Source organism: Homo sapiens, chromosome 6 (assembly GCF_000001405.40).
Source record: "Homo sapiens chromosome 6, GRCh38.p14 Primary Assembly".
NCBI classification, from domain to species: domain Eukaryota; kingdom Metazoa; phylum Chordata; class Mammalia; order Primates; family Hominidae; genus Homo; species Homo sapiens.
The window spans coordinates 117,258,980-117,285,243 of NC_000006.12; the positions used below are offsets into that span (position 1 = coordinate 117,258,980).

At 42.0% G+C, this 26,264-nt stretch overlaps 1 protein-coding gene and 1 long non-coding RNA gene across 4 annotated transcripts; one reads left to right on the top strand and one right to left on the bottom strand.

The window, feature by feature from the left end:
- Window positions 1–3,282: 3,282 nt before the first annotated feature.
- On the bottom strand, window positions 3,283–6,095 carry LOC105377964 (uncharacterized). Its single transcript, XR_942911.3, has 2 exons — window positions 5,596–6,095; window positions 3,283–4,204 (listed from the first exon to the last, which is right to left on the bottom strand). It is a non-coding gene; the product is annotated as an uncharacterized LOC105377964 (long non-coding RNA).
- A 483-nt stretch (window positions 6,096–6,578) lies between these two features.
- Window positions 6,579–14,651, top strand: VGLL2 (vestigial like family member 2). Of its 3 annotated transcripts, none has more exons than XM_005266883.3 (4): window positions 6,579–6,865; window positions 9,203–9,512; window positions 11,564–12,085; window positions 13,330–14,651. In XM_005266883.3, exons 1-4 carry the CDS (start codon window positions 6,785–6,787, stop codon window positions 13,371–13,373), a joined length of 957 nt encoding a protein of 318 aa, XP_005266940.1. In that variant the 5' UTR covers window positions 6,579–6,784; the 3' UTR covers window positions 13,374–14,651. The 3 variants fall into 3 exon arrangements, with proteins under 3 accessions (XP_005266940.1, NP_872586.1, NP_703154.1); NM_182645.3 differs by having other exon boundaries at window positions 13,475–14,586; NM_153453.1 differs by lacking the exon at window positions 11,564–12,085 and having other exon boundaries at window positions 13,475–14,586.
- The last annotated feature ends 11,613 nt before the right edge of the window (window positions 14,652–26,264 follow it).

Consider the following 26,264-nt stretch of genomic DNA (forward strand, 5'->3'; position numbering starts at 1 on the left):
TGTCCCATGAAATGAGACCAGTAGGCCGAGTTCCCAAAACATGTGACCTTTAGAGCTCTGGGCATCCAGGGATCAGGTCTGCCACTTTGTGTGCTTCAAAGGTGGCAATCAGCACCAGGTTTCCCTTTTTCCATTCCGCTTTTAAAACCTGGGGGTTCTCTCCAGTTCTCCAGTTACTCGCCTACATAACTATTTGACAACATGTGCTTTGACATGTCTTCTTTTTAACACCTACTATTGGGAACTTCCTTTCTGCTGAGGTAATTCTCCATAGCTTTGAGGTCTGCTACCCAAGGTAAAAAAGCGTATTTGTTTCTTTCTAACTTGTTGGTATGGTTGCCTCAATTTAGCACTTCGTTTTATTGCTTTTTAATTGTCAAATAAAAATTGTATATATTTATGTGTGTATACACAGTGGAATAACTAAGTCTAGCTAATTAACATATATATCAATCACCTCACATGCTTATGATTTTTTTAGAGGGTGAAAAAACTTAACATCCACTTCCTTAGCAATTTTTAAGTACAATTTATGAACTATAGTCACCATGATATACAATAGATTTCTTGAACTTATAACTCCTGTTTGTGGAATTTTGTGTCCTTCGACCAACATCTCTCAATCTCCCCACCCCCATAGCACTTCACTTTAAATGCGCAAATACGGCCTCTTTTTCTAAAAGCAATAGTTGTTTCATAATGGAGCTATTACGTTGTATTACTGGAAGGATGTTTTACCACATTCATTACCAAAAATAATAAAAGGCATTAATTGCCTGGTAATAGCCACTCCCTCATACACACAGGGGCAAAGTTATATAAATTGATACAGATTACAACCTTAATTTATTTTGCCACTGAATATCCCCAGAGAAAAAGAAAGCTCAGGGGTAAAAATATGTAGTCATTTTGAAGCACTTCAGAATTACTGTGTTCTTAAAACATTTCCAAATACCAATAAACATGACTAAGGTCATGGCTATATTCTGAGAACATGTATGTTTGAAGAAAGAATTAGCTATGCTTAGGAGTATAGGCATTAATTTACTAAATGGGAAGAACTTTTCTTAGTGAAAGCCTACTCTGAGACCTGAATTGCTCAGTATTATTTCTTATATGGTCATATTTAGCTGTTTTGTTTTTTGAATTATCTGGACAACTGACAAATTTCCACTCTGATTCACTGTGACAATAGACTGCATAGGTCATATAAAATGACATTTTTTAAAAATTTACATTGCAATGTTTTAAATTTGTTGGATAATGCTGCGAGTTTAATTATTTTAAAAATTAGTTGTCTCATGCTTCTCCTAAAGAAAGATGAAACAATAATACCACCTGGGGAGGTTTAATTTCATAGTCCACAACTGGACTTTCATCTTCAAATATGATGTGAAACATTTATAGTATGAAGTTAAGAACAAAAATTAAAAGTATTTCAATTTAACGACTACTATTCACACTTCCTTTCTGCCAAGGTAACTCTCCATAGCTTTGAGGTCTGCTTTCCAATGTAAAAAGGACCTTTGTTTCTTTCTAATGTGTTGGTATGGTTGCCTCCATTCAGCACTTCGTTTTATTATTTTTAAGTGCCAAATAAATAAAACAAACAATGGCAGTGTAGCATTCCATGCTAAAAATTATTCCATGCATGCAAAGAAAAACTTCCTATGAGAATTGTTTAAAAGCTGTTTTAAGAGCTCTTGATACAAGTGACAGGACACCACACTCCACACTCAGATGGATATCTTCACCTTCAGTCTGTTATTGCTGTGGTCTCCTTTTAATCCCTTCAGCATCCTGCTGAAATCAAGTTTATAAACAGAAGTTTGAGAATGGATCAACACCAACACTGTCAAATATCTAAGTCAACAGTTTAAATCCTTTAAGTCTACTTCCACTTTCTGAATCTGTAAATTCCTCTATCTCCCTATATCTTACAAAAGTAGTTTCACAAATATGTTAGTTGTGAGGCTTTCTCCAAACTGTGTGTCTTTAAAGAAAAGCAAATGATAGCATCAGAAATTATAAGCAATTAGAGCTACTTTTCCAGGCAAAGCAGAGATGACAGGCAATTTCTTCCTATTAAGAAATAATTGATATGTGCTCTCAGACTTAGCTATGCATGTCCAAGTATATCTTATACAATGTAAATTTCCTTCTAATTTTTTCTCTTGTGAAAATATGACAAGGCAAAACATTTGACACACATCTATTTTAAGTGTCCCTTTTTTGCTATTTGTATGTTACCATTGTTAAAGGATTGGGTCACATGAATTGAATTTGTATAATCTTATCTTTATATAACCATTTCATAGAGACTCATTAAAAAGAACTCATTTCTAAAAAGATGAATACGGTTTTAGTTATATTCCCCAGTCTTAGAAATGGGCACAAATGTTAACATGAATACAAGATAAACTAAATTCAAAAGATTGCAATTATTTCACCAAAGCTAAAGTTGACATGTACATAACATAAAAATAGGGTTTTAAATATGTAAAGAAGGAAAAGTTCAACATTCTTTTAATAATCCTCTATATGTCAATAAAAGTAACTTTATCTATTCATTTGAACTGACTATAGAAGATTTTTACCTGGAAGCACTGTTAAGAGCTACTCAAAGTTTGTATGAAAATAACTGAACCATCTTTTACTTATTTTTTTCACTAAGTCAAACTGTAATTCCTCCCCACTTAGCTTTTTAGTGAGGTTTCAGGATGCATGGATTTCTCTATTTCCCCCTTTTTTTCTTTAAAATTAAATCACCATTCAGTCCATTACTACAGTATTATTCCTAACTAACAGATCATGCCTGAAAACCCTGGCTTTTACAGAAATGTTTTTAACTAATATTGTTAACAGCTTGAATCCACAAAATCTTCTCAGCTACTCTCCCAAATCCAAACACAACTCCTGTCAGTAAAACATGAAAAAAATGAGTTTGTGGGGGAAAATCTGTGAGGTTACCATTGTGTTTATCCCCCTCGGTTGGCAACATGAAATGCCAACTCATGATTTAAATAAACCACTGGCAACGAAGGGCCTGGCTGGCTGCAAGTCAGTTCTCCAAATCAGTTCTATTCAAGTATCCTTGCTAAGCAGTGTCTTTGCGGTTTTCAGAATAAGACGACACAAGTGACAGATAGATTCAGAGATAATGAAATCAGCTAGTTTACGAAAGTGAGAGGTAAACCTTTCTGAAGAGAAAACAGGTATTTCATTGAGTTGCTATCTTGAAACATTTACTTGTGCTAAAGTAATTTAATTTCACTTATTAACTTCAAGACTAAAGGTGTCTTTATTTTCACAGTATAGATGCTGTTAGAATTGCAGAATAGAACTAGGATATTAAAAAAGAAATTTTGGTGCAATTTACTTTCATATAGCTCTTTCCTAGCAGTTCAATAAATGGCCATTAATCGATCATAAAGTGAAATTCTTTTCAAAGAGAAGTTTTGATACTCCCTCTGCCCAGTTAAGGAGTTAAAAGCCAATTCCACGCAACTGGGAACAGTTTATCTCACTGGGGGCTTCGGGCCCAAATTCAGGGACATCTGTTTGTTTTTCAGTCTCTTCTTGAGGAAGAGGACTCCAGAGGGAAGGAAAGATAATTTTCTCAACCTGTAGCCCATTCCCAAGACTCTGAATCTAAATCTAACTTCTTCAACCTTGATAATGTGCTGGTGGTTTGAATGGCTGGGAGAGTAAAGGGGATCAAATTTAGCTGTGTTTTACTTTCCGCTTCAGCGTAGAAACAAGAGGCAATCTCATGCGATTGAGAAGTACCACCCTCCTGTAAATGACAACTTTTCAGACATAGAGAAAAGACGAAACATTCTCCAATCTTTGGGACGTGTTTTAAAACTCTGGGATGTTTGTTTTTCTTCCTTCACTGTGGATTTAGGGGGAATAAAATGGTTTCCTTCCTAAATTCTAGATTGATGCTCACTGACCCAATTCCTTGTGTTCCTTCGAACTCCTGTGCAGTCCATACCCTCGCTTAGCTTCAGTGAGATTTTTAAAATTGTTTCAAGTAAGAGGAGATTGAGTAATGTGAATGTAAAGCAGCCTTAGGCAACTAGAATAATGTTCTCTTCAATTTCTTCGTCTGAGATACGCAAAATCGTTCTTCCTGTAATCCTTTCCGAAAATAACTTTCTGTTGGGCCTTGTTGGACTTGGAGAGGTTGTCATGATTTTCTCTGGAAATTGCAAATAAATAAATAAATAAAAAGGTCTTCTAGTACTATAGCCATCGTAAAATTTAAAAATGTCAAAGTGACCGGGTACTGGGAATAGGAGGTAGCTACTGGAAGGTGAGCAAGGACAAAAGCAGGGTTTCCATGCATTGGTTGGACATGCTAGTGGAGCTTGCCTTCCGCCGCTTCCCACCCACCAACCCCCATTCCCCCTGCACAACACTGCCAAGCCCAGGCTGCTCGAAAAGGAGCCGGCTTCAGCCACCGATGTTCACGCCCAGAGATGTCCAAAACGGAACCTCCGTGTCCAAGGAGGGACTGCGGGACTTGCGCGAAAGTGGGGGACCGGACCCTCCGGGGCCACACCCGCCCGCCCCGTGGAGTCCCTGGTGCGATGGTTGCGTTGACACCTGTACTCCTGCGGGCCTGGGTGAAGCCGACCCAGCAGAAAGGGTGCGCAGCAGCGGCCAGCGAGACTGGGACCTGAACTCCCCATCTCCCGCACACAGAAGAGCGTACTGTGGCTCTTTGGATGAGGGTTTCCTCTCTTGCCCCAAAGAAAATGATGATAGGTGGTTGTACCTATCTTCAGAAACGCCTAGGGAGGGCACATTGGGGTGGAGGTGGGATGGATGTTCTGCTTCACCCTTGCGCCTGGATAATCAGAAGCTCCAGAAGCTGGCAGATTTCATCCAACAGGCAGCTTGGCCCCTAAAAAGAGGCTTGCATGGAAATGTACTAGAAGAGTGTCTTTATTTTAACTTTTCATTGATTAGAAAACTTTACATAGATTACATTGTTGTTAATTAAGGAAATTGTCGAATCGCTCAAGATGGCTCACCAGTTACAAGCATTTGGAGACACGGAGCCATTTCCCATCTATAAATTGGGCAACACCAAAACTGCAACCCTAAAACAATTTGGCTTAAAATACTCACTTTTAAAACACAAATAGATCTTCAAGGGTTCATTTATTCACAGTCTTATAGCCTGAGACTCTATAAAGACTTTCTGTTGTATTTAAGCTGGGGAATAACTAGGGTTTGAAATCCATGCTGCCTCTTTCTTGAGTCTAGACTCTTAATGCTCCCAACCTGTTCCCTTGGTCCCCCCAAGTCTGGCCCGCCTCTATTCCCGTAATGCCCCTTCCGCCACCTGACCCAGCCATGGAGATAGCCTTGTCTCAATGCATTCCTAAACTTATAGAACTGAAGACTCCACTGTTACACCCCCTTTCCAGAGGGCTTGGTGGGGGGTAGGCTTGAGAAGGATGGGTAGGGTCGCAGGAAGGAGGGCGAAGCCAGCAGACCTCTCAGGGAGGGCCGGAGAGAGAAAGGGGTGAAGGTTTTATAGTTGGAGTGCATATACTTCCAGCTCTCCAAAATGAAACATACCATCGCAGCTGGTATTACCGGCTGAATAGGCAGCAAAAGACCTCTCTGTGTACGGGTCCTAGTATGCTTCTTCTTAGCGCCAACGAGTCCTTGTCCCCAAAGTTGCCAAAACTTTAAAGGACCCCGGCCAAGGAGACCCCAGCATGAAAAGCCAGACATCCGAGGCCGGGTAAAGCCTCCTGGACTCCTCGAAAGCAGCTCACACCGGGAGCAGCCGGAAGCGGGCGCGATCTATGCGAAGCTAACGGGTTCCGGTGGAGAACATCAAAGAGAAAGGAGCAGGATCGAACTTTAGAGGGGCAGAAGGGCACGGCCCAAGAGAGCAGAATTGGGGTGTGGGACAGGCGGCGGGAGGACCAGGTTAGAGGGAGCGAAAGGAAGTGGATTAGAGGACAGCGGTTACAGGTTTCAGCCACTGCCATTTCCCCGCAGAGGTAGCTCTTCTGCGCCCTGGAGGGGTACCCGGACTCCCACATCCTGTCTGCCACGACCCGGACTCCCTAGGGGATTCCAAGGGACAGCACCGTCCTCCCCATACATCATCAGGAACCGAAAGCAGAGAATTTGCCCCACCTCGGCACTTCTGGAAGCACCCACTCAACTACAGTATGAGACAAGGGCTTTCCTAAGAGACCTTTCTCCAACTTTCTTTCTCTGCGTGTATGAGCCCGGATCCCTTCGTCCCCGCCTCCTTCTCTCTCTCTCTTTCTCTCTCTCTCCTATTTTGTCCTGGGAGATTCCTACTCGCGGTGCGAAGCCTCGGATCCGCTGGGAACCGCATAGTCTCCGGCACCCTTGGCCGCATGCTTGTCAGAGGTGGGCCCCGGGAAACACACTCGCTGCCCCTCCAACAAGCGTCCCTCGCTCCCCATTGGCCCCCCGGTCCCCGCCCCCCACCGCCCCCTCCCGCTCCGCAGCCCCCGAGTGGCGTCAGCACGCCCGCCGGGCATGGGCTTTAAATGCCCACTAGCGGGAGCTCAGGCGCTTCTGCCCTGGAGCGCGGTCGGGAGTAAAATCGCAGGAGTGGGAGGGTAGCGAGCCAGCTGGATTCCGAGCCGCGGAGCGCGCTGGCTTTGCTCCGCCTGATGACTCCAGAGCGCGGGTCCAAGCGCCGCCCATGCAGCACCCCTGAGCTCCGGGGAAGGAGAGTTAATGAAAAAACACTTAACCGTCTCCGCTGCGGAGAGTCATGAGCTGTCTGGATGTTATGTACCAAGTCTATGGTCCTCCGCAGCCCTACTTCGCAGCCGCCTACACCCCCTACCACCAGGTACGTGTCTCCTCTGGGGACTTTGGGAAGGAGTGCGCGCCCCCCGTTTGCGGCGGCATGGCCTGTACGCCAAGGTCTGCTGTGCCTCCGCGCGTCTCGGGCGTCCGACCACGACCGGCGCAGCCGGGATGCGGGGATTGCCGGAGCCGCCCCCAGTTGGTAGTGCAATTAGCTAACCCCTTTAGCTCGCCTGTTTGCTCTCGGGAAGCAGCTAAGCCCTGCTAATGTGAGCCTAGGTCTTCCCTGGAATAATCAGAGGAAGATGGCACGGGCTGGATTTTCTTCTTAGGGTCTGTCGGACTCCAGATTCTTCCAAGCCAGGTGCAGGTACCAGGAAATGCAGGCAAAGCTGACGCAGGAAAAACCAAACTTTGGTCCCAATGGTGAGAGTAACAACAAAACCAAAAGCGAAGGCCAGCCAGCCTCTTTCTGAGATGCAAGGGCCGGTGTTCTCATCCCTGCAAGTTTATCTCAGGAATAATTTCTTCCGTTTCAATTCTCTGGCGACCAGGGCAATTAATTCCAGATCCAGAGAATTCATTTCAAAGAGCACCGCGCAGTTTTATAATTTTTTCCTTTGCGAAGTTCTGGGAGCATTATCCGGAGTGCGAATGACCCGGCAGAGGCGAGCCTGATAGACAATACTTTGCCTTTCTCCAGCCTGAGTAGGTGAATGGGGAAGCCCTGCTTCCAACAAACACTTTAAGAAGACCACTCAACCCGGGTTCTGCAAACTCTTCAAGTTCCATTTAATTCTGCCAGTTTCTCTTGTCTTCAGGCTGCGTCTGTTTGAACCATTTTCCTTCCATTTCCTCAGCTGAGGTAGCAGAAACTGAGGACAGTAGTGCAGGAAAAGAATGAAATCATACACCTGGGAGGCTGTAGGGGTCCCCTCCAGGTTGGAAAGTGAGAGCTTGGTCACCTGCTTTGGGGAAATTGAAATACACCCCAATGCCCCAGTGGATGCTTTTGCTAATTTTGCCTGCAAATTTAAAATGTCTATTCGAAAATTTCCCGATAAATTAATGATGGACCGGATAGGGTTCACTTTTTGTTTTCTTACCTCCTCTTCTCTTTTAAACTTCACAACTTGCAGTTTGTTTTGCCTCAGTGTTAATTTTAAGAATCACCAGAGTTCCTCTTGTAGGGAAGGTGGCATTTAGGAAGTGGTGATATTGCTAAATCTTACATCGTTTTGTCCCCAATTATTTCAAACCTTTTGGCTCCAGCTTCTGAAATGTACTTCTTCCCAGGGTGGGACTATGGCAAGCAAAGAGGAGAGAGGTGGATTGGTTTTCTGACTGGCCCTTTCTTCTCCCAGACCCCGAACCAATCTATTGCATGAAGATCTCTGTTCATTTTTGTATGACTCGGGCCGCCTCTTCAAGGCCATCTCTGCCTGCAGAATGCTTTAACACTTCATTCAGTCCATTGCTCATTTCTAAGAAAATGTTCACAGAAGCTGCGCCTGCTTTTTAAAATCACTATGAGACATGCCGATTTACCCCACCTCACAGCCAGGATCTTAACTTTCTTCTGTCTGCTCCTTTTTATCATTTCCTCAATGTGTGTGGAGATGATGGGGGTGGAAATACTCGTAATCCACTGGTCTTTCGTTATTAAAGAGAAGATCTGTTTAAAAACTGATATAGGGATAATAAAAAAAAAATCAACTTGCATTTATTAAAATGATCCGTGTTTCCCCAGTCATGTTACCCCAGATTTTTACCCCACACAATTCATTACTAAATGTAATTATTTCAAACTTTTTGTGGCATTTCTTCCTTTACATTCCTGTTGCTTTCCTTCACACATTCCTAGTTTCAGGGAGTGGATTTTGTAGGGGTAGGGGGTTGCCCCCCGCTCCTATTTCATCAGGAGGATGTTTATCCTGTATCCTGTGCTTCTGCCCTGGATTCTCAGGCAAGGAACAGTCAGGCTCTATCTGGACTTGGGTGCCCTTTACCCTTGGAGTCTGATTTTAAAAATATATCTGCCCTGAGCCCAGCTATGAGGTCAAACTCAGCTCTAAACCTAGCTGCTTAGGTGTCTCCTGAAACCTTCACCCAGACATTTTAGGAGAAATTTTCTAGGAGTCAGAGGGACCAAGGACAGCAATCTTCCTTTAAGGAAGCCCGTCCTTGCTTGGGTGCAGGTTGGGAGGCCTGCTAACTATGTTGCCCCGCTATTGCTAGTTTTATGCTAACAGCACAAGGCTTAAGCCCATATGCCAGTTTCCCCATAAATACCTTAGAGATTAGGATGAGGGAATCAGTCTGAACCGAATTTGCCATCGCTTTTGAAATTGATATCTCTGTTCTTTCTCTCTCTGAACAGAAACTAGCCTATTATTCCAAAATGCAGGAAGCGCAGGAGTGCAATGCCAGCCCCAGCAGCAGTGGCAGCGGCAGCTCCTCATTTTCCAGCCAAACCCCAGCCAGTATAAAAGAGGAAGAAGGCAGCCCAGAGAAAGAGCGCCCACCAGAGGCAGAGTACATCAACTCCCGCTGCGTCCTCTTCACTTATTTCCAGGGGGACATCAGCTCCGTGGTGGATGAACATTTCAGCAGGGCCCTGAGCCAACCCAGCAGCTACTCTCCTAGCTGTACCAGCAGCAAAGCACCAAGGAGCTCTGGGCCCTGGCGAGGTGAGTATAGGGCCCTGCTGGGAAGGACCCATAGGGGGTCCTCTCAGCCTGGGGTTCACCTACAGGAGCCTAAAAACATGCAGCTGAAAAGAATATTAGGTGTCAGAGAAGGTGTGCAGAGGAGCATTTGGAAAGGGTAAGGAAAACGCAGGGGTAAAGGGCATGGATATAAGAAAAAACTCCTTGGAAAAAACACTATCCTTGGAATTGGAAGACCTAGGTTTGTGTGTTGGTTCCACCACTTCCTAGCAATATAACCTTGGGCAAGTCTCAACCTCTTTGAGGTCACTCTATTTACTGCTCTCTTAAAGTAGAATAACACTTACCCTCCTAACCCCAGAGAAGGCTGTAAGACTCCAACAAGAAAATGGATGCAAATATGCCGTCAAAAACGTGAGGTTTCCAGCACCCTCCCAAACCAGTGAGTGAAGGAGCTTCACTCTAAAGAGCACTTTCCCAATCTGCCAACATTTTCCCAGAGGAAACAGTTCTAGAGCTCCATGCAAGCAAAACCTGTTTGAGAATGTCTCCTAAAACCTACCTTTGCCTTTCACCAGGCTCCAATTGCTTGAGAAATCTTGAAGCAGAAGCGTCTCAATAGCAAGTAAAATAACAAAGAAACAAAAATTTAGATACAGCCAGAACACCTCTAAGAGTTTTCCCAAAACACATCCCCTTTTTATTTTTCTACCTTCCCCCACAAAGCACTGCTTTTTTCTACCCTAGGACAATTATTTGTTGGACAACTCAACTAAATCTCCCTTCTATTCTGAAATCTCAACTTCCCTTTATTACCAACAAAACAAAGGTGGGGGAACCATTAAGTAAACTTGGCTCACTAAGCTGTATTTGATGTGTACCAAGCTGAGAAAGGGGGACTTTGTTGTAAAAACAAAAACAAATTTTCATTTGTCTTTGGGAGGGAAATTACAACCTTCACCCCCTTTTTTCCCCCTTAAGAGACGCTGGCAGTTTGCATAAGGCTTGCCCTTAGACAAGATCCAAAAAACATTCATTTTAAATACAGAACATTCTTTTTATTCTCTGCCTAAATATGTTTAACAGGAAGACTCTTCACCACTTAGAATGCATTTTCAAATCATTTAAAATTCTCTAGTTTATCGTGCAGATGCCTTCCACAGAGGAGGTGTTCCATAAAGGTTCCATGAATTAAATATCTGTCTTTCTCTCCCTTCTTACTAATGGCAACAAATTTGATCTAAACGCTGTTCTCTTAAAATGCTGTCACGGGCTAGGAACCAACAGTGACACTGACAATAGTAATAATAATTATTATTATCCCTGGCGTCCTCGTTTTGATACAAAAGTTAATGAAAACTTAGGATAAAAGACCTGTCTATTCGTGTCCTTCTGTGCAAATAATAGAGCTGCCCTTTAATGCGACTAGTTTACTCTTTTGCTTGAGTTTTTGGAGAAAAATATTTGAAAGAAGGTTTCTAGAAAGAAAACTAACAATAGCAAGACTTCAAAATATGTCGATGGACTTTCAGTCTGTCAGAGACGTTAGGTGGTGGGGGGCACATTTTCTGGAGCAAGAAGGCTGAAACGCGAGAGGGGGTAGTGAGATCACTAGGCGGCCGACCAAGAGTGGGAAGAGGTATCGTTAGCTTGGGGAGAGGTTAAGGCTAGGAAAGGGAGGCCGTGCTGCGCTGAGTCGCGGGAAGCTCCTTGAGCTTCAAGGACTTGAGTCGGGGAGGGAGTCTCTCCGCTCTTGCTACTCTACCCGCCACTTGGTTTCCGCACTGAGGACTCGGCTGCGAAATGGGAGGAAGCAGGCCTCCTTTTCGTGGGTTCCCAGAAGCCCCCATTTTGCAGTTCCCCCACCTCGCTTTCACAGGTTGCAGCCCCCTTAGAAAAACGCCGCTGCAGAGGCGGGGGCTGCCCATCAGCCCCGGCCATGGCTAGCCAGCCCTGTGCCCGCCCGGCGCCTTCGTCTCTCGGGCGGGACGTGCAGGTCGGCGCTGAGTCCAGCCGCAGTGACACGCACCTCTTTTCCTTTCCTCCACTCCGCCTCCCCGGCCGGCCTACAGACTGCTCCTTCCCGATGAGCCAGCGCAGCTTCCCCGCCTCCTTCTGGAATAGCGCGTACCAGGCGCCAGTGCCCCCGCCGCTGGGCAGCCCTCTGGCCACCGCGCACTCGGAGCTGCCCTTCGCCGCCGCCGACCCCTACTCGCCCGCCGCGCTGCATGGCCACCTGCACCAGGGCGCCACGGAGCCCTGGCACCACGCGCACCCGCACCACGCGCACCCGCATCACCCCTACGCCCTGGGCGGCGCCCTCGGCGCCCAGGCCGCCCCCTACCCGCGCCCCGCCGCCGTGCACGAAGTCTACGCGCCGCACTTCGACCCGCGCTATGGGCCGCTGCTGATGCCAGCCGCCTCGGGGCGCCCGGCCCGCCTCGCAACCGCCCCGGCGCCCGCGCCCGGCAGTCCTCCCTGCGAGCTCTCCGGCAAAGGCGAGCCGGCGGGCGCCGCGTGGGCCGGGCCCGGGGGACCCTTCGCGAGCCCCTCGGGGGACGTGGCCCAGGGTCTGGGCCTCAGCGTGGACTCAGGTAAGCAGAGGAAGAAGTTTGGTCTCCGCGGAGCCGCTCGGCCCCGTACCCGACCCTGGGCTGTGCCTAGACCCCTTAATCCTCCTTGGAGACCTTGAATTCTGTGGCCCAAGGATCTGCATGCCACGGTCGTGTTTCCACTGATACATGGCCCTGTGCCATGCGTGTAGGCGGGATGAGAAAGTAGGACCCTACCCTAACCTGGCTGGTAAATGTTACAGAGGACTTTTAAAATAATAATAATAATAATAATAATAATGATAATAATAATAATAATAATAATAAAATTTAGTGGAAAAGTTCTAGCTCTGCGCTGTTCAATACTGTAGCCGCTAGCCACTTGGGGCTACTGAGCACTTGGCACGTGGTGAGGCCGAATTAAGATGTGCTGTCAGTGTATAATACACACTGGATTTCCAAACCTTTGTGCAGAAAAAGAATGTAAAATTCATCTCGTTAATACTTTTACATTGATTACATGTTGAAATATTTTCAACACATTGCATATCGATTATAAAAAGTTTCATGTTTCTTTTTACTTTTTTTCCAATTCTGGCTACTAGAATATTTAGAATTATGCTTATGGCTCCCATTGTATTTCTATTGGACAGCGGTGATCTAGAGTAGCTGCTGAGAGTACAATTTAAAATCTTCTGTGGCTTGGGGGATCTTGTCACCTAGTGATAGTTGTAAGGAAAGAAAAATGTGATCCTGGTATCAAGTTAATTGCCAAATAAAATAGATCTCTTAAAAATGTAAATCTTAAAGAATATTTTAAAATGACAATCCTAAGTCTTTGGCTTAAAGTATTTGCAACGTACAGTCTAATAAGGGCTTGCTTTTTTGCCTTCTTTTCTTATTTTTAGGGCAAATGAAAGAAATAGTTATATAATAAGTGCAATCACTGGCTTTATAGTCTGCCCACTGCCCCTTTCCTCAAGTGATTTGACTTTTCGGTTTGCTTTGCTTTTACTTTCAGTCACCGCCCCCCTCCCCACCCCGCCCCCAACTTTAGGTGAAGTCTGTGACTTTCACAATAAAACAGTGGTGTTTTGTCCTTCTTTCCTTAAATATCTTGTGCCTTCCCTCCCCCATTCCTTCTTTCTCCCTCCCTTTGTCTTCCTCCTCCTCCTCTTCTTCTTTGTTCTCCTCCTTCTCCTTCTCCTTCTTCTTCTCTCTCTCCCTCTCCCTCTCTTTCCCTCCCTCTCCACCTCCTCTCTCTTTTATCTTCTCTCTATTTTCAGGTTTGCAGCCTCAGGACAAAAGCAAGGATGTGTACTGGTTTTAGACCGCCCACCTTCTTCCCTGTAGGTCTCTGCATAGTGCAATTGATGGCACTCAGAGCTGAAATGGAGTGGGTTTGTAACAGCTTCTGATCTTGGTTTGCAGCTCGTCGTTATTCCCTCTGTGGTGCATCCCTCCTGAGCTGATCTGCTGACCCAGGGTTTCCCCTTCCCCTTCCCTTCTGACCAGCCTTGGAGGCTCAGCATCTGTGCCTCTCACTCCGTGGATGAGGACATGGGGGAAGGCAGAGACTTCAGACTTCTCAGTGTGTTGGGAAAACCAAAAACCACAACTACAGAAATTCATCTAAAAATAAGTCCTGCTGCTGAAAGAGCAAATCCAAAGACTGAGTTATGTTTAATGACTTTTGGCCGAATCACTGGAAATATCTGTGGTGAGATTGCTGAGTCAGGTGATGTGATATCATAAGCTTTCTTGGAACGGGGGAAAGAAAATGAAACTTTTTGGTGTGAATATTTTTTATGCTGATGTGAATTATTTTGTTAGGTAGTGTGATTATAGCACTACTACTGTCAGATTTTAAATTGTATGTGTACTTGCATCTAAGACTGTGGTAGAGAAGTAAAGAGAAGTCAATTCCTTCTTCCTCACCTCTCAGCCTCCAGATCCCTTCCTGCCCATCCCTTCCCTACAATGCCCACTCCAGACGCAAAGATACACTTTTTTCCTTTGGACTGTGAACATGGAAGCCTCAGCCTGAATGTGAGTGGCAAGTGGCTTATCTGGAGCCACCTGCCCAAGTCTTACTAAAATGCAGCTGTTGTTAGACAACTGTTGAAAACTCCAGAAATACATCACCCAAGGTGGCAGTTCTCAGTATTTGGCAGAACAATTGCAATTGCACTGGGTATATTATATATATATATGTATGCATATATATCATATTTTTTACAAGGAACATTTTATGATGAAAGAAGAAACCCTTCTCTGCCTTCTCTCCCACGAATTCTGTCCCTGTATCCTCTGGATGTAAAAAGCAAGGAGAGACCCCAACTGTCTCCATGGAGAAGAACTAGGAATCACCACAAGGGGAAGAAATGTACATGAAGTCTCCATTACCTCGAATTTTTTTCTCAGTCTCACTGGTTGTGATTTGGTCACTTTAGTGTTGGGACAGGGGAAAGGGTCTGTGCGTGGGCAAAGCTGAAGGTGATGAGGAAGAAGAGACGAACATTAAAGATGTCTATTTACTATGAGCTCACTGTGTTGTTTCATAAAAAGAAAATAAATAACTTAGTTTTTTTCTAGTAGAATAAAATAACACAGTAGTATGATTTGATGTCAGTAATATTACATATATATAGATAGATAGATATAGATAGATAGATAGATCTTTCTGTGTTTCCACCGTGTTTGCTGTGCTATGAATCTGTTAGCTGTTTCCATCTCACATCAACCTTGGAGAACGAGAAGTTAGGTACCCCTGTCTGTTTTACAGATGAGAAAATTGTGGCCTACAGAGGCCAAGGGCTTGCCTGTTAACATTCAGAAGTTAGAAGCAAAGATGGTACAAAAAGCACTACCTGGTACAGATTTATTATTTTCCAGAAAAGATTTATTGTTACATGTTTAATTCTAGACTCAAGACAGTAGAGTCATCAGTTAAAAGTGTTTTTGAAATATTGGCTATTTTATATTTTAATAAGCTAGGCTAAGAAACCAAATCTCTCACTAGGCAAAAAAGATTTTTAAGAAAGAAACTGGTAGTTTTTCCCCTTGTTTCCTCTTGATACCAAAGTTATTTCTGTTCTTTCACAAAAGTGCCCAGTAGAGAGATTTTGTGTGCTGCTCAGATTACCCTTGTACCTTGTTAACACATAAAAATATTAGTTCAAATCTTGATCTTCATTATAACATGAGAGGCGAATATAATTTATCTTGGATAAGTCTCAAGAATTGGAAGCAGTTAAGGGATCTAACTCACAGCATGAGCTTGGCAGAGTTCCCCATACCCTCTTTCTGTCATTTGGCTACCTGTGAAGTACATATGATCATTCCAGGAATATGGTTTGCACTCTGATGGAAGGTACTCTATGATTATGTGCATCACATGTGATAACAATAATCATAATCATAACTAATGTTAATTGTTTATCACGTACTGGGCACTGATCTCTATAGATTAACTCATTTAAACCTCACAACAATTCTGTATGCTATTTATTACGATGTTCTCCTTCTTACCTATTAGAAAACTCAGGCACACAGAGGAGAAATTATTTGCCCAGTCATGAAGCTCGTCAGTGGCAGAGTCAGGCTGCAAATCCAGGTAGCCCCCGTGCAGGGCTGCACTGTTATTCGCTGTGTGACTGCTTGTCCAGTTCTGATTTGTCTCTTTGATCTTCAACGTTGGGCTTATTTTCTCCACAATAGATGCATAAAGAAAGGAAAAAAGTCAGAGAAGCACAGATTGATGATGCTTTGGTAGAATTTACAGAAGCCCAAGTCTTAAAGGAACTGTCGTAGGACATTGTCCAAACTCCATCAAATGACACTACTTAGACCATTCAGTCAGGTACAGCTCTCTATTCTTCTCCAGGAGGGAATTATTATTGCTTCTCTTATTCACTTCAGTATTTAACAGCCTTCACCACTCTGAAATTCTTCACACCCAACCTAATCAAGCTGTGTAAGAGTTAGCCTGAGGTTTGGACATTGAAGCAATAACTAAAATTAACTTTGGACTTCTCTGTGGATTGTTTTAATCCATGTTCCACTGGCATGAATCCCTGGTATATTCAAGTGTAAATAAAATGCATTAAGCCCCAGTGTGCTTTTCAGAATTTGCTACTAAATATACTGTTGAAGAAAGCATGGCAGTGCATTCTCTGCTGGACATCTCCACATATTCCCCACCGGAAGAGGTTGTTTACCTGTACCCCACCTGCGTTAACACTCACAAGATCTGTGATCAGAACCCACAGGGAACATTTTCCCACCCACAAGGTTCTGATTACTGAAACTTCTCTCCTAAGCTACATCTGACCTGAATATCAGGTTGCTGGTAAGGAGACTCATTCACTGGAATTGGCCTTTGGGGCGGTCCTGAACAGACCGTCCAGACTGCTGAGCCAGTCCAGGCTCCAGCGACCTGGCACGTATGACACGCGAACCACAGCGTTTCCCTCCATTCCACACCTTCCTAAGGTAGAAATGCAAGATGACCTAGATCCATAATGATTTGGTTCTGTGTAATAAGAGCATCAAAGAGAACTTTGGAGAAATGGTAGCCCCAACTGACATTCTGCAGGCTTACTTCAAGTCACACAAAATATGAACTCTCATACCTGTCTTGCTAATAGTAGTCAAACCATGCAGATTTGAAAAGATTCTAGCAGTTGAAAAAAGGACATCAAGGAAATGTGGGATGGCATGAGGAAAGGCAAACATGACATTTTTACATATGTTATACCTGGTCAGGGGGCTCAGAGAAAGGTTACATTCTCCTCTAATCACCCCCATTGGCACTAGTGTCCTCTTTGCCCACGGCTTTCCCTTTGCACTTGGCCTAGGTTGAAGGAGAGGTGATGAAAAGGAAAGAGACGGCTCTCCACCACCAAGTAATCCTTTTGCCGATTGCACTCTGGCTGAGAATTCGGTCACCCAGCTACAGGGAATTCTATCTGTTCTATTCCTTCAGTGTAAAAAGAGTTGCCATCCCGTCTCATTTCCCCTTTGAAGTTCTATTTAAATGCATGGCAAATTCTAGCAATATCTTAAGATTGATTTGGGTCTGGATGGGAGATGGTGGGTGTTGAGACTCAGAAACCCTGACTGAACACTTCTCTTTTCACTCTTTCTGGGTAAGTACTGTATTTTCTGTGCCCTTCTGCATCTGGAAAAAGCAACTCTTTAGGTAACTTTAATTTTCATTTTGCTTAGAATCAAAAAGCCTGCATTTTTGTGCAGGCATGCACATATTCTGTCAAAGTAAAGAAGCTCTTTTTTTAAGCACTTAGTGATCAATTACTTTGGAGTTGGAGGGGATAAAAAATAAATAGAACTTAAACAAACTGCTTTCATGTAAATGCTATGTCCATACATTGAATTTATTAATGTAATTCATTAGGATGTCATCTAAGCATGGAAGAAAAATGGAAAGATATGTGAAAATACTTTAAAAATAAATGAAACTGAAAAACCTAAGATCACTTTGTAAAATTGCCTTAACAGTTTGTTGACAATTCACCTGCAAATAGTTCACATTTTTATTGTGCTTGCCAAGCTGTTTTCTCTGTATATTTCATTTTTTCTTACTAGACTTTTAAGATTTATTATATATTCCTAAAATCTGGAGTAAAGGAATAAATATTAGACAGTATCATTATTACCATTGCTGTCTGTATGTAACTGAAATTGTGACATTTATACAAGCAGCAGGGTTAAGCAAACGTAAATTTCACATTTCCTAAATACCAATTCTTGCTTATTGCCTATAAATATAAAACTCTAAAAAGACAAATATGGTATCTGCAAAATAGAATCTATCCACAAATATAACACACACGCACACGCGCGCGCGCACACACACACACACAGATGCAGACCTAGAGAGAAATCAGAGACATTATGCCCTCAGACAGGCACAGGCACAAATGATTATTCTCACTTGACAGACCAACTGTACTTCTCTTTCCTTGTATTTCACTCCAGCCCCAGAGGGCTGGATCAAGAAAGAGATACTTGATAGCTGCTGTTTCCGTGGTTGAAATATTTGTGAAGTTAACGCATAATCTGAAAGCAGAAGCTAATAAATTATAGGGTGCTAATTGGAGCTAGAATGGAGCTGTCAATCATGTTATCCTAAACACAGAGAGACCCTCATAACCTAAAAAGGCAATGCAGCCTCCAAAAACAGCTCCCATTTGTTTCCAGCCATGACCTCCAAATATCACGTCCAGGCAAGGAGTGGCCACTGACAAGTGTCGGCAGAGGTGATTCTGCTAATCCAAGTTGACTTTAAGAGACAGGCAAATTTTCTTTTCTAGGGAAAAGAGTAAGATATTTTGCCGAAGAATTAATTTTTAATCTTTAGAGAAATACATACATTATGTATGTGTGTGTGTATATATATATATATATACACCTTATTAGAATGTATGTGTATATATATATATATATATATATACCTTACTAGAATAATTATTACTTTGGTAAAGCATGTGACCCTTCATTTGGAATTTTTCACTTTAAAATTACTGAGTTAACTCAGTAGGAGAAAAATCTGAAGTTCTCCACAACGCAGTGTCAGATCTACCTCAAATTATAGTATTTCTGTGAGTTTCCGGTGTATTCTTGTGAAACTAAGTTCCTCTAAAACAAAAATGGAGACATCCAAATTTGCTCTGCCTTGCTGGAATTCAGTTATTTCACCTAGAAAAGCAGCAGCAGCATATTTCCTATTCCTTTGTTTTGTCCTTAGACTCAGTAAGCGCTACTTCTGCTTATCTCCAAGTGTTTCAAAATGGCTACAATGGCTTTGCTCAAACTATCCTCTCATAATTGTTTCCACTTTCTATCAAAAATGTATAAATGAATAAATATATTATGATTACATGTAAGAAATTTAGGTTAAAGGTAAACTAAACTTTCAACAATGAAATTAAAGAATTAAAACTTTTTTATTCCTAATCAATATTTGCACCACTCTAAATGATCTATAGGCAATTAGAAATTTTTACCAACGTGTATTTTTGGAGTACATACTTTAATCTCTACCGTATTTACAACTAGAAAAATATTCTATTTATGTTATAATTTGGTAGCTTCTTTAGAATACTTCAAATAAAAATTCTTTTCACTCAGAAACAAAAATTAAGGATCTTAAAATTCTAAGCACACACTTGCTAGAAACAACAGCTATGATTGGGATCATTGATGAGAGTGTCCCAAACTCATTTCTTTTCCTGCTGGTTCTCAAACTATAGTGTTGCTCTTATTTTTGGCAACTACATTATTGGCCCTTTGGCAATGATGGTATTATCAAGAAATGGGATAAAAAAATGAGTTATTGTTAAATTTATTTTTACCGGTACAACCCTATTTCACGTTTTCTTCTTCTAAGAGTATTTTACCCAATGTATAATCTGTTATACCCAATGTATAAGTGATTGGATTTTTTCCCTCTAGTATCAAATGACTTTTTTCCCATTGTACCAGCTTTTTTATGGAATTTCCTGATATCTTTAGAAGCACTGCCTGAAGGTGCTGTATTAGTAGTATTCCACCTTGCTTTGTGGAGTGTGAAATCCCGTTTTTACCTCAGGCAGTTTCTTCTCTACACTCAGAAACTGACAATAGGTCGCTGACAGACAGATATTGGTAAGAAACATAGAGAACAGGGCTTATGATGTTTGTTCTTCCTTGTTCAAACACTTCTTTTAAAAACATATTATTCACTTATATTTTTTAAAGGGCATAAGAAATGATCTAGGGAAAAGGCCTACCCCCAGAGGGAAAACAACTATGAAGTTATATTCAATTGGAATTGCTGAGATGAAAAATTATTCACAATTTTTTACTTAACAGTTCCAAACTATTTAGTTAATAAATTAAAACAGTAACATCAGACACCATCATCTCACATTGAAACTTGGGATGTCTGGTCATTTGATGTTTAAGGAATGGTGTCATTATAGATAAGACTGGAAATTTTATAAATTTATCGTGGAATACTGCCATCTCTTATTTTTGCTTGAGATATAAAGTATTGAAACTAAAAAAGAAAAATAAACAATGTTTCACAGTCATAATATATACTCATGCTGCCAATTAATGTAAGCTTTGGGTCTTAAGAGAATGAGGCAGAAAGTACAGGTACCACTGAATCTTCCTGTGTCACAGAACAGCAACAAGGGCAACACATTAAATATTAAAATAAAATAAATTATACAATTTAACAGTATATATTTTTCACATCATAAAAGCTTCTGGCTACATTTTCTACTGTTATTTTAGGGTGCATATTTAGTTTTTCTTCTTTATCAGAGGAGGTTCTAATTTGAACTCCATTACACACCCTTTGTTCTCATTGTCCTTATTGTAAACAGAAAAACTCTATAAGTGACACTAAAAACGTTTTGCATGATAGCTTTTAGTGTACTGATCTATTTATTGTGCTTACCTATCCTTTGTCTACATATCGATTATCAGATGAACTTAGAGCTATCTTGTCTAAGTTTTCAGGAGGATATCAAGCTCACCATTGGGTAAGACCTCAGCCCACTGGTACACAAGAAGTTAACCAGAGTACCTAAACACAATTGTTCCGGTTGACTGTTCCCCTGAGCAGTCTGCAACATTTTCTCTTATATTCCACAGAAGGTCCTTGTGAATTCCTACCTCCCAGCAGATCAGAAAACCTTCACCCTCATTGCCATCTTATTCAAATGCTATCTGTTCTTCAAGTCTAGATTAGTTCTGTCTCTTCTACAAAACCTTGTCTCCCCACCACACCGCAGTATATGGTCTCACCCTTAGGGAACTCTTTCACCTAATGTCTGTGCCACTTATTTGGCATTTACGTAGCAATAACATTTCATGACACAAATTTAGGAGTTCTGAGATTGCAGTAGTCCTACAGAACATTCTGTTGACACTTGACTTACAGTATTCTTTAACCTTAGCTAGATATTAAGTACATTGAGCAGCTACCACCAATTATTATGAAAAAACACAGTGTATTAAAATATTTTATTATATGTAAACAAATTTTAAAATATAGGTTGATTTGAAGTTTAGAGTACAAGTTAGAAAAAGAAAAACTGGCTGGAAGCCTGTTTCATTAAAGAAAGTCCTCTTACTAAAAGTAGTGGAGAGAAATTCTATCACATTTCATAGGAGCCAGTTAGTATTATACATCCTTTTCCTGCCCCTATATCCTGAGCCTCAATCTCTGTCTTCTGCTCAAAGGTATCATTTCGACAGTTCTCTTCATCTTGCATCATTTCTTTTCCCTCTCTATTGAATTGCTCCCGTTAATAAACACAGGCTGCAATATTTCCTGTCTTTAAAAATGCACACAAACCCAAGACAAAACCTCCCTTGACCCATCTTCTTCCAGTTGCTACCTCACCTCTCTGTTCCCTTTAAATGGAAAAATGCCTTAAATGAGTCATCTTTGTTCTCTCCCTTTACTTTTTAATTTTCTCCTGTACCTATTTTAATTTAGCTTCCCCTACACACAAACTTGCCAAGGGCAACCGTTAGCTCCATATGTTTAAACTTTAAGAGCAATTATCATAAGTAGTCTTTTAAATTGTCCCATCAATAGGATGATATATCAGTTTGGATCCTCCGAGAAGCAAATGCCAAGACACATACCACGCACTTGAAGCCTTATTAATATATTCTAGCAAATATACTACATCTGGTATAGCAACTGTAGCTGAGGCCATTATTGGAGTTAACTTGTGGTATTCTACACTCATTCTCCAAGATCTATCCAGTTTTGGCAGGAGCCCTAGTGAATTAAATGGAGATACGATAGAAGCCATGAACCCTGAAACCTTTAGATCTTTAATAGTGGTACTAATCACTGTCATCCCCCTGAGATTTGTGTTGTTTTTGATTTACAATTTGTGTTGAGGGAGGGGAAGGAAAAGGGGGCCAGTTTTAAAGGTTTCCACTTGGCCTTCCACACTATGGTATCTTTTGCCACACAGGCCAAAGATTCAGTGAGGGGGTTACGCCAATCACAAAGTATGTTGATCCCAATTACACATTTAAAGAGTAGGAAAATGACCACTGGGTGGGGCTGTGGCCCGAGTGGACACATTGTAGGTTAGGTTTTAGCCAGAATGCAATTTAATACCTGCTCCCATAAGCCCCATTTTAACAGAGGGACTATGATAATGCATCAGGTTTCTGGATGCCCATATCAACTCAGACCCTGTATCCAAGTGTCTGAAATGTCTGGGAATTCCCGCTTCCTTCAGTTGTACAGTCACTGGAGTAAGTGGCCATAGTTGCCGTTGCAGTATATGCCTGTGATGATGTTGCAGGGTCCTTCCACTGTCAGTCAATGAGTTGCAAATCCAAAAATTGGCTCAGGTCCGGGAATTGAGCAAGGATCATGATTTTTATCAGAAAGACCACGTTAGCCCCCTGTTTCTTTAATTTTGTTTTTATGATCATTAACTTTGGGTGTCACATTTTTGCCTTTGTGATAGTTAATTTTAGGTGTCAACTTAACTGGATTAAGAGATACCCAGATAGCTGGTAACATATTATTTCTGTATATGTCTGAAAGGGTGTTTCTGAAAGAGATTGATATTTGAATCAGTGGACTAAGTAAGAAACATCTTTCTGTATTGAATGTGGATGGGCATCATCCAGTTGACTGGGTGCCTGGATAGAACAAAAAGGCAGAGGAAAAGCTAATTTGCTCTTACTCTTTCTGCTGCTGCTGGGACACCCATATTCTCCTTCCCTTGGCCACTAGAACTCCAGGTTCTCTGGCCTTCAGACTCAGGAACTTGCACCAGTTGCTCCCCTCAGGTTCTCAGGCTTTTGGCCTCAGAAAGAGCATTACACCATTGGCTCCCCTGGTTCTCAGGCCTTCAGACTTGGACTGAGTCAGGCTACTAAATTCCCTGGATTTCCAACTTGCAGGTGGCAAATCGCGGGACTTCTCTGTCTCCATAATCATGAGAACCAATCCCCTTAATAAGTCCCCTGTCTATCTATCTATCTATCTATCTATCTATCTATCTATCTATCTATCATCTACCTATCATCTCTATCTGTCATATATCTATCTATCATCTATTTATATATCCTATCAGTTTTATTTCTCTTAAGAACCCTGATTAATAAAGCCTTCTACTGATTTTGGATGTTAAGGACTGGCTGTCCATTTATTTTGCCCTAGGGATACATGCTTTGATATGGTTTGGCTGTATCCCCCACCCAGATCTCATCTTGAATTGTAGTTCCCATAATCCCCATGTGTCATGGGAGGGACTTGGTGGGAAGTAATTGAGTCATGGGAATGGTTACCCTAATGCTGTTCTCGTGATAGTGAGTGAGTTCTCACGAGATCTGATGGTTTTATAAGGGGCTTTTCCCCTTTGCTCAGCGCTTCTCCTTCCTGCCATTGTGTGAAGAAGGACATGTTTGTTTCCACTTCTGCCATGATTGTTAAGTTTCCTGAGGCCTCCCCAGCTCTGCAGAACTGTGAGTCAATTAAACCTCTTTCCTTTATAAATTACCCAGTCTCAGGTATTTCTTCACAGCAGTGAGAAGAAACTAATACATGCTTTATTAACTATCTCCACAATATCTATGGTCAAGCCCCTTTGGCTTCCTCTCTGTCATTAGTGATAAGGGTCCCTGGCTTCTGGTGGTCAAGTGCAGCCATCTGGCCTCTATTACTTTAGGCCCGCATTGTGACCATGGATGTTAACAAGCTCAGCTCTGGATCTGCCTCTCCTGCCAAAAGCTCTGCCTGCAGAGGAGACCATCACTGAGCTTCTTCGTGATGCTTGTGAGGCTCCTTTCATCAGCACATTCCTGATGACCTTGATGAATGCTGCATCCTCTGGTGGGTCTTCTGGCTTCACATTATATGTCCACTTCAGCATTCCCACTCCTTAGCCTTTTAATTCCTTACTCTACCTTTTGACAGGGAAACTCAGAAAGGGCCTTTGTTGTCTCCTGGCTTCTGAAGCCACCCTAGCCACAAATTTGCCTCATCTCCATTGGTCTTTTCCAGAATGTTAAATCTCATGTCCCAGGAAAATCTCACCCAGTGAATGAATTCTTGCTTACCCAGTCTTACCTTCCCATCCCCTTGACCTTCAGAATGCAATGCCAGCATTATCCCCCCCACCCCTGCCAGTGCATGTTAGCTAATTCTTGGAGCTCCTATGGGATGTAATCTCTTTCCTTCCTTATCAGATCCAGCATATCCCTAGTCAAGTTATACTGGGATTTATCCAGCATAGTTATCAACCTGGCTGTCAGGAAAGATGAATGTGGTTCCTGAGGGCACATCAGTTGCCTGGTTGAGAAGAGGCCTCTGTCACATTTTCCTCTACAGAGAAAGTGCTGGCTCTTACTTTGGAGGGGTGGGCCACCTCTACAAGCTCTGAGGGATCAGAAGGGTCTGCTGAGCCAAAATCTTTGAGGTATTTATCTAAATACCTTTATTCTGTGTTTCAGGGCACCAGGTTTTCTCAACAGACCCACCTTGAATGAGCACTTAAACGTCTCAAGCTCTGCAGCACTATAGAATGCTGAGTTTGCTCCTCACCTATATGTATATTTTTTATTTATTATGTCTCCTCTTCCAACTACAATGCTGGAATGTAACCTCCATCAAGGCAGAGACTTTGCTTTGTTTAATGCTCTATTTTTAGCACCTGTAACAATACTTTCTGCATTTTAGGCACTCTATTAAATGAGTAAATGAATGAATGTGAAGATCTACAAAGGAGGGGTAAACTCTAATAGATCCACCCTAAGTGATTTTATGCAGCCATCAGGAACCCTCCCAAAATATTTTTAATAATTAGAGGTAAAGCTTATGTAATAATGTTAAGTGAAAAAAACTAGGAGAGGTACAACTACAACTATTCCAGCCATGAAAATAAGCTCCTATTGGGGAGAAAAAACTGGAAGGAAACATCCTAAATTATTCACAGTAGTGTTTGGGGAGTATATTTCGGCCCCTTAATTCTTCTGGTTGTATGTGAAGAAGCCCGAAAGAATCAGGATAGGTCATCTGATTCAGGCTCCCTGTAACCCTGACCAGCTGCCAAAAGGAAAGTTGGACAGGCTTCTTTTTACCAAGGAGTATCAAAGAGAAGTCAAGGACACCCTAACATCCATCCTACATTCATAGAAGCTATTCTGAGGGTAAAAGGTGGGTTTGGGATAGGGCAGAAACTGAGAATGCTAAAAATAAATGTTTTTTTCCTTTAGCATATGTTCACTATTACTTCAAGGGCTTCAAGAAGAAGTTTGGTCCTCACTTATGTCTGATATTAACTTCAAGGCAGTTGCCCAACTTCTATAATCTGTCTAGGTCTCAACTGATAACTCATTATTGAAAGAATCCTCATGAGTCCCCAGTGGCATTAGATCAATTTTCTGGTATCCCTGGTATGAGCCATAAGCAAGGACTTGTCCTGTAATAGGCTGGAAGTAGATGATGAGAAAATCTATTTATCAATCCATTAAAAACAAATACCTACTTTGGCATGGAGACTATATAAAGGAATAAAAGACACCATCCTATCTTCATAAAGCTTGCAATTTATTTGAGTAGGTAAAATGCATAGAAATAGAATGGAAAAAACTTGCAGTTACTGCCAATGAGATTTAAAGACAGTAAGGGCAAAAGTAATTCTGGGAAGGAACAGGGTTAGGGGCAGGCCTTTCCAAAGAGTTGGAATATGAGCTGGTTATAAAAGTTGAGTGAGATTTAGTAAGCAGAAAAGAATAGGCCAAGAGAGTCCAATAGGAAAGTGAAAGCCAACATAGGTAAGAAATGTAGAGTGCATCTGGGCCCAGAAACAGACTTTTTCTCAAGAACATTTGGAGTAAACCATTTTAATCAGAATTATATCAACATATTTATTTTATCTAGATAAATATTTCCTCAATTGGCAGTGTTAAACCATAAACAACATAGCATTTGCTTCCAACCCTATATCGCATTTCAACTTATTTAAATATTTTTCTTATGGATTATTTCTTTTCCTTGAACAATTTTAAATGAAGGTTAGATTCATTGATCAGCTTTTTCATATAAACTCTTTCCAGTTGTAGCTTCTGTCTTTGTGAGTTATTACTTCTCTCAAGTCTTCCTAGGTCACATTTGCAGATTTAAAAAAAAATATCAGCAGGGTGCAGTGGCTCACGCCTGTAA

What these genes read in the sequence shown, in the direction of transcription:
- VGLL2 (XM_005266883.3), top strand. Translation starts at nt 6,785, where the DNA reads ATGAGCTGTCTGGATGTTATGTACCAAGTCTATGGTCCTCCGCAGCCC. An exon ending in GAGCTCTGGGCCCTGGCGAG is followed by an intron (nt 9,513 to 11,563) that starts GTGAGTATAGGG and finishes GCCGGCCTACAG; the next exon opens with ACTGCTCCTTCCCGATGAGC. An exon ending in GGGCCTCAGCGTGGACTCAG is followed by an intron (nt 12,086 to 13,329) that starts GTAAGCAGAGGA and finishes CTCTATTTTCAG; the next exon opens with GTTTGCAGCCTCAGGACAAA.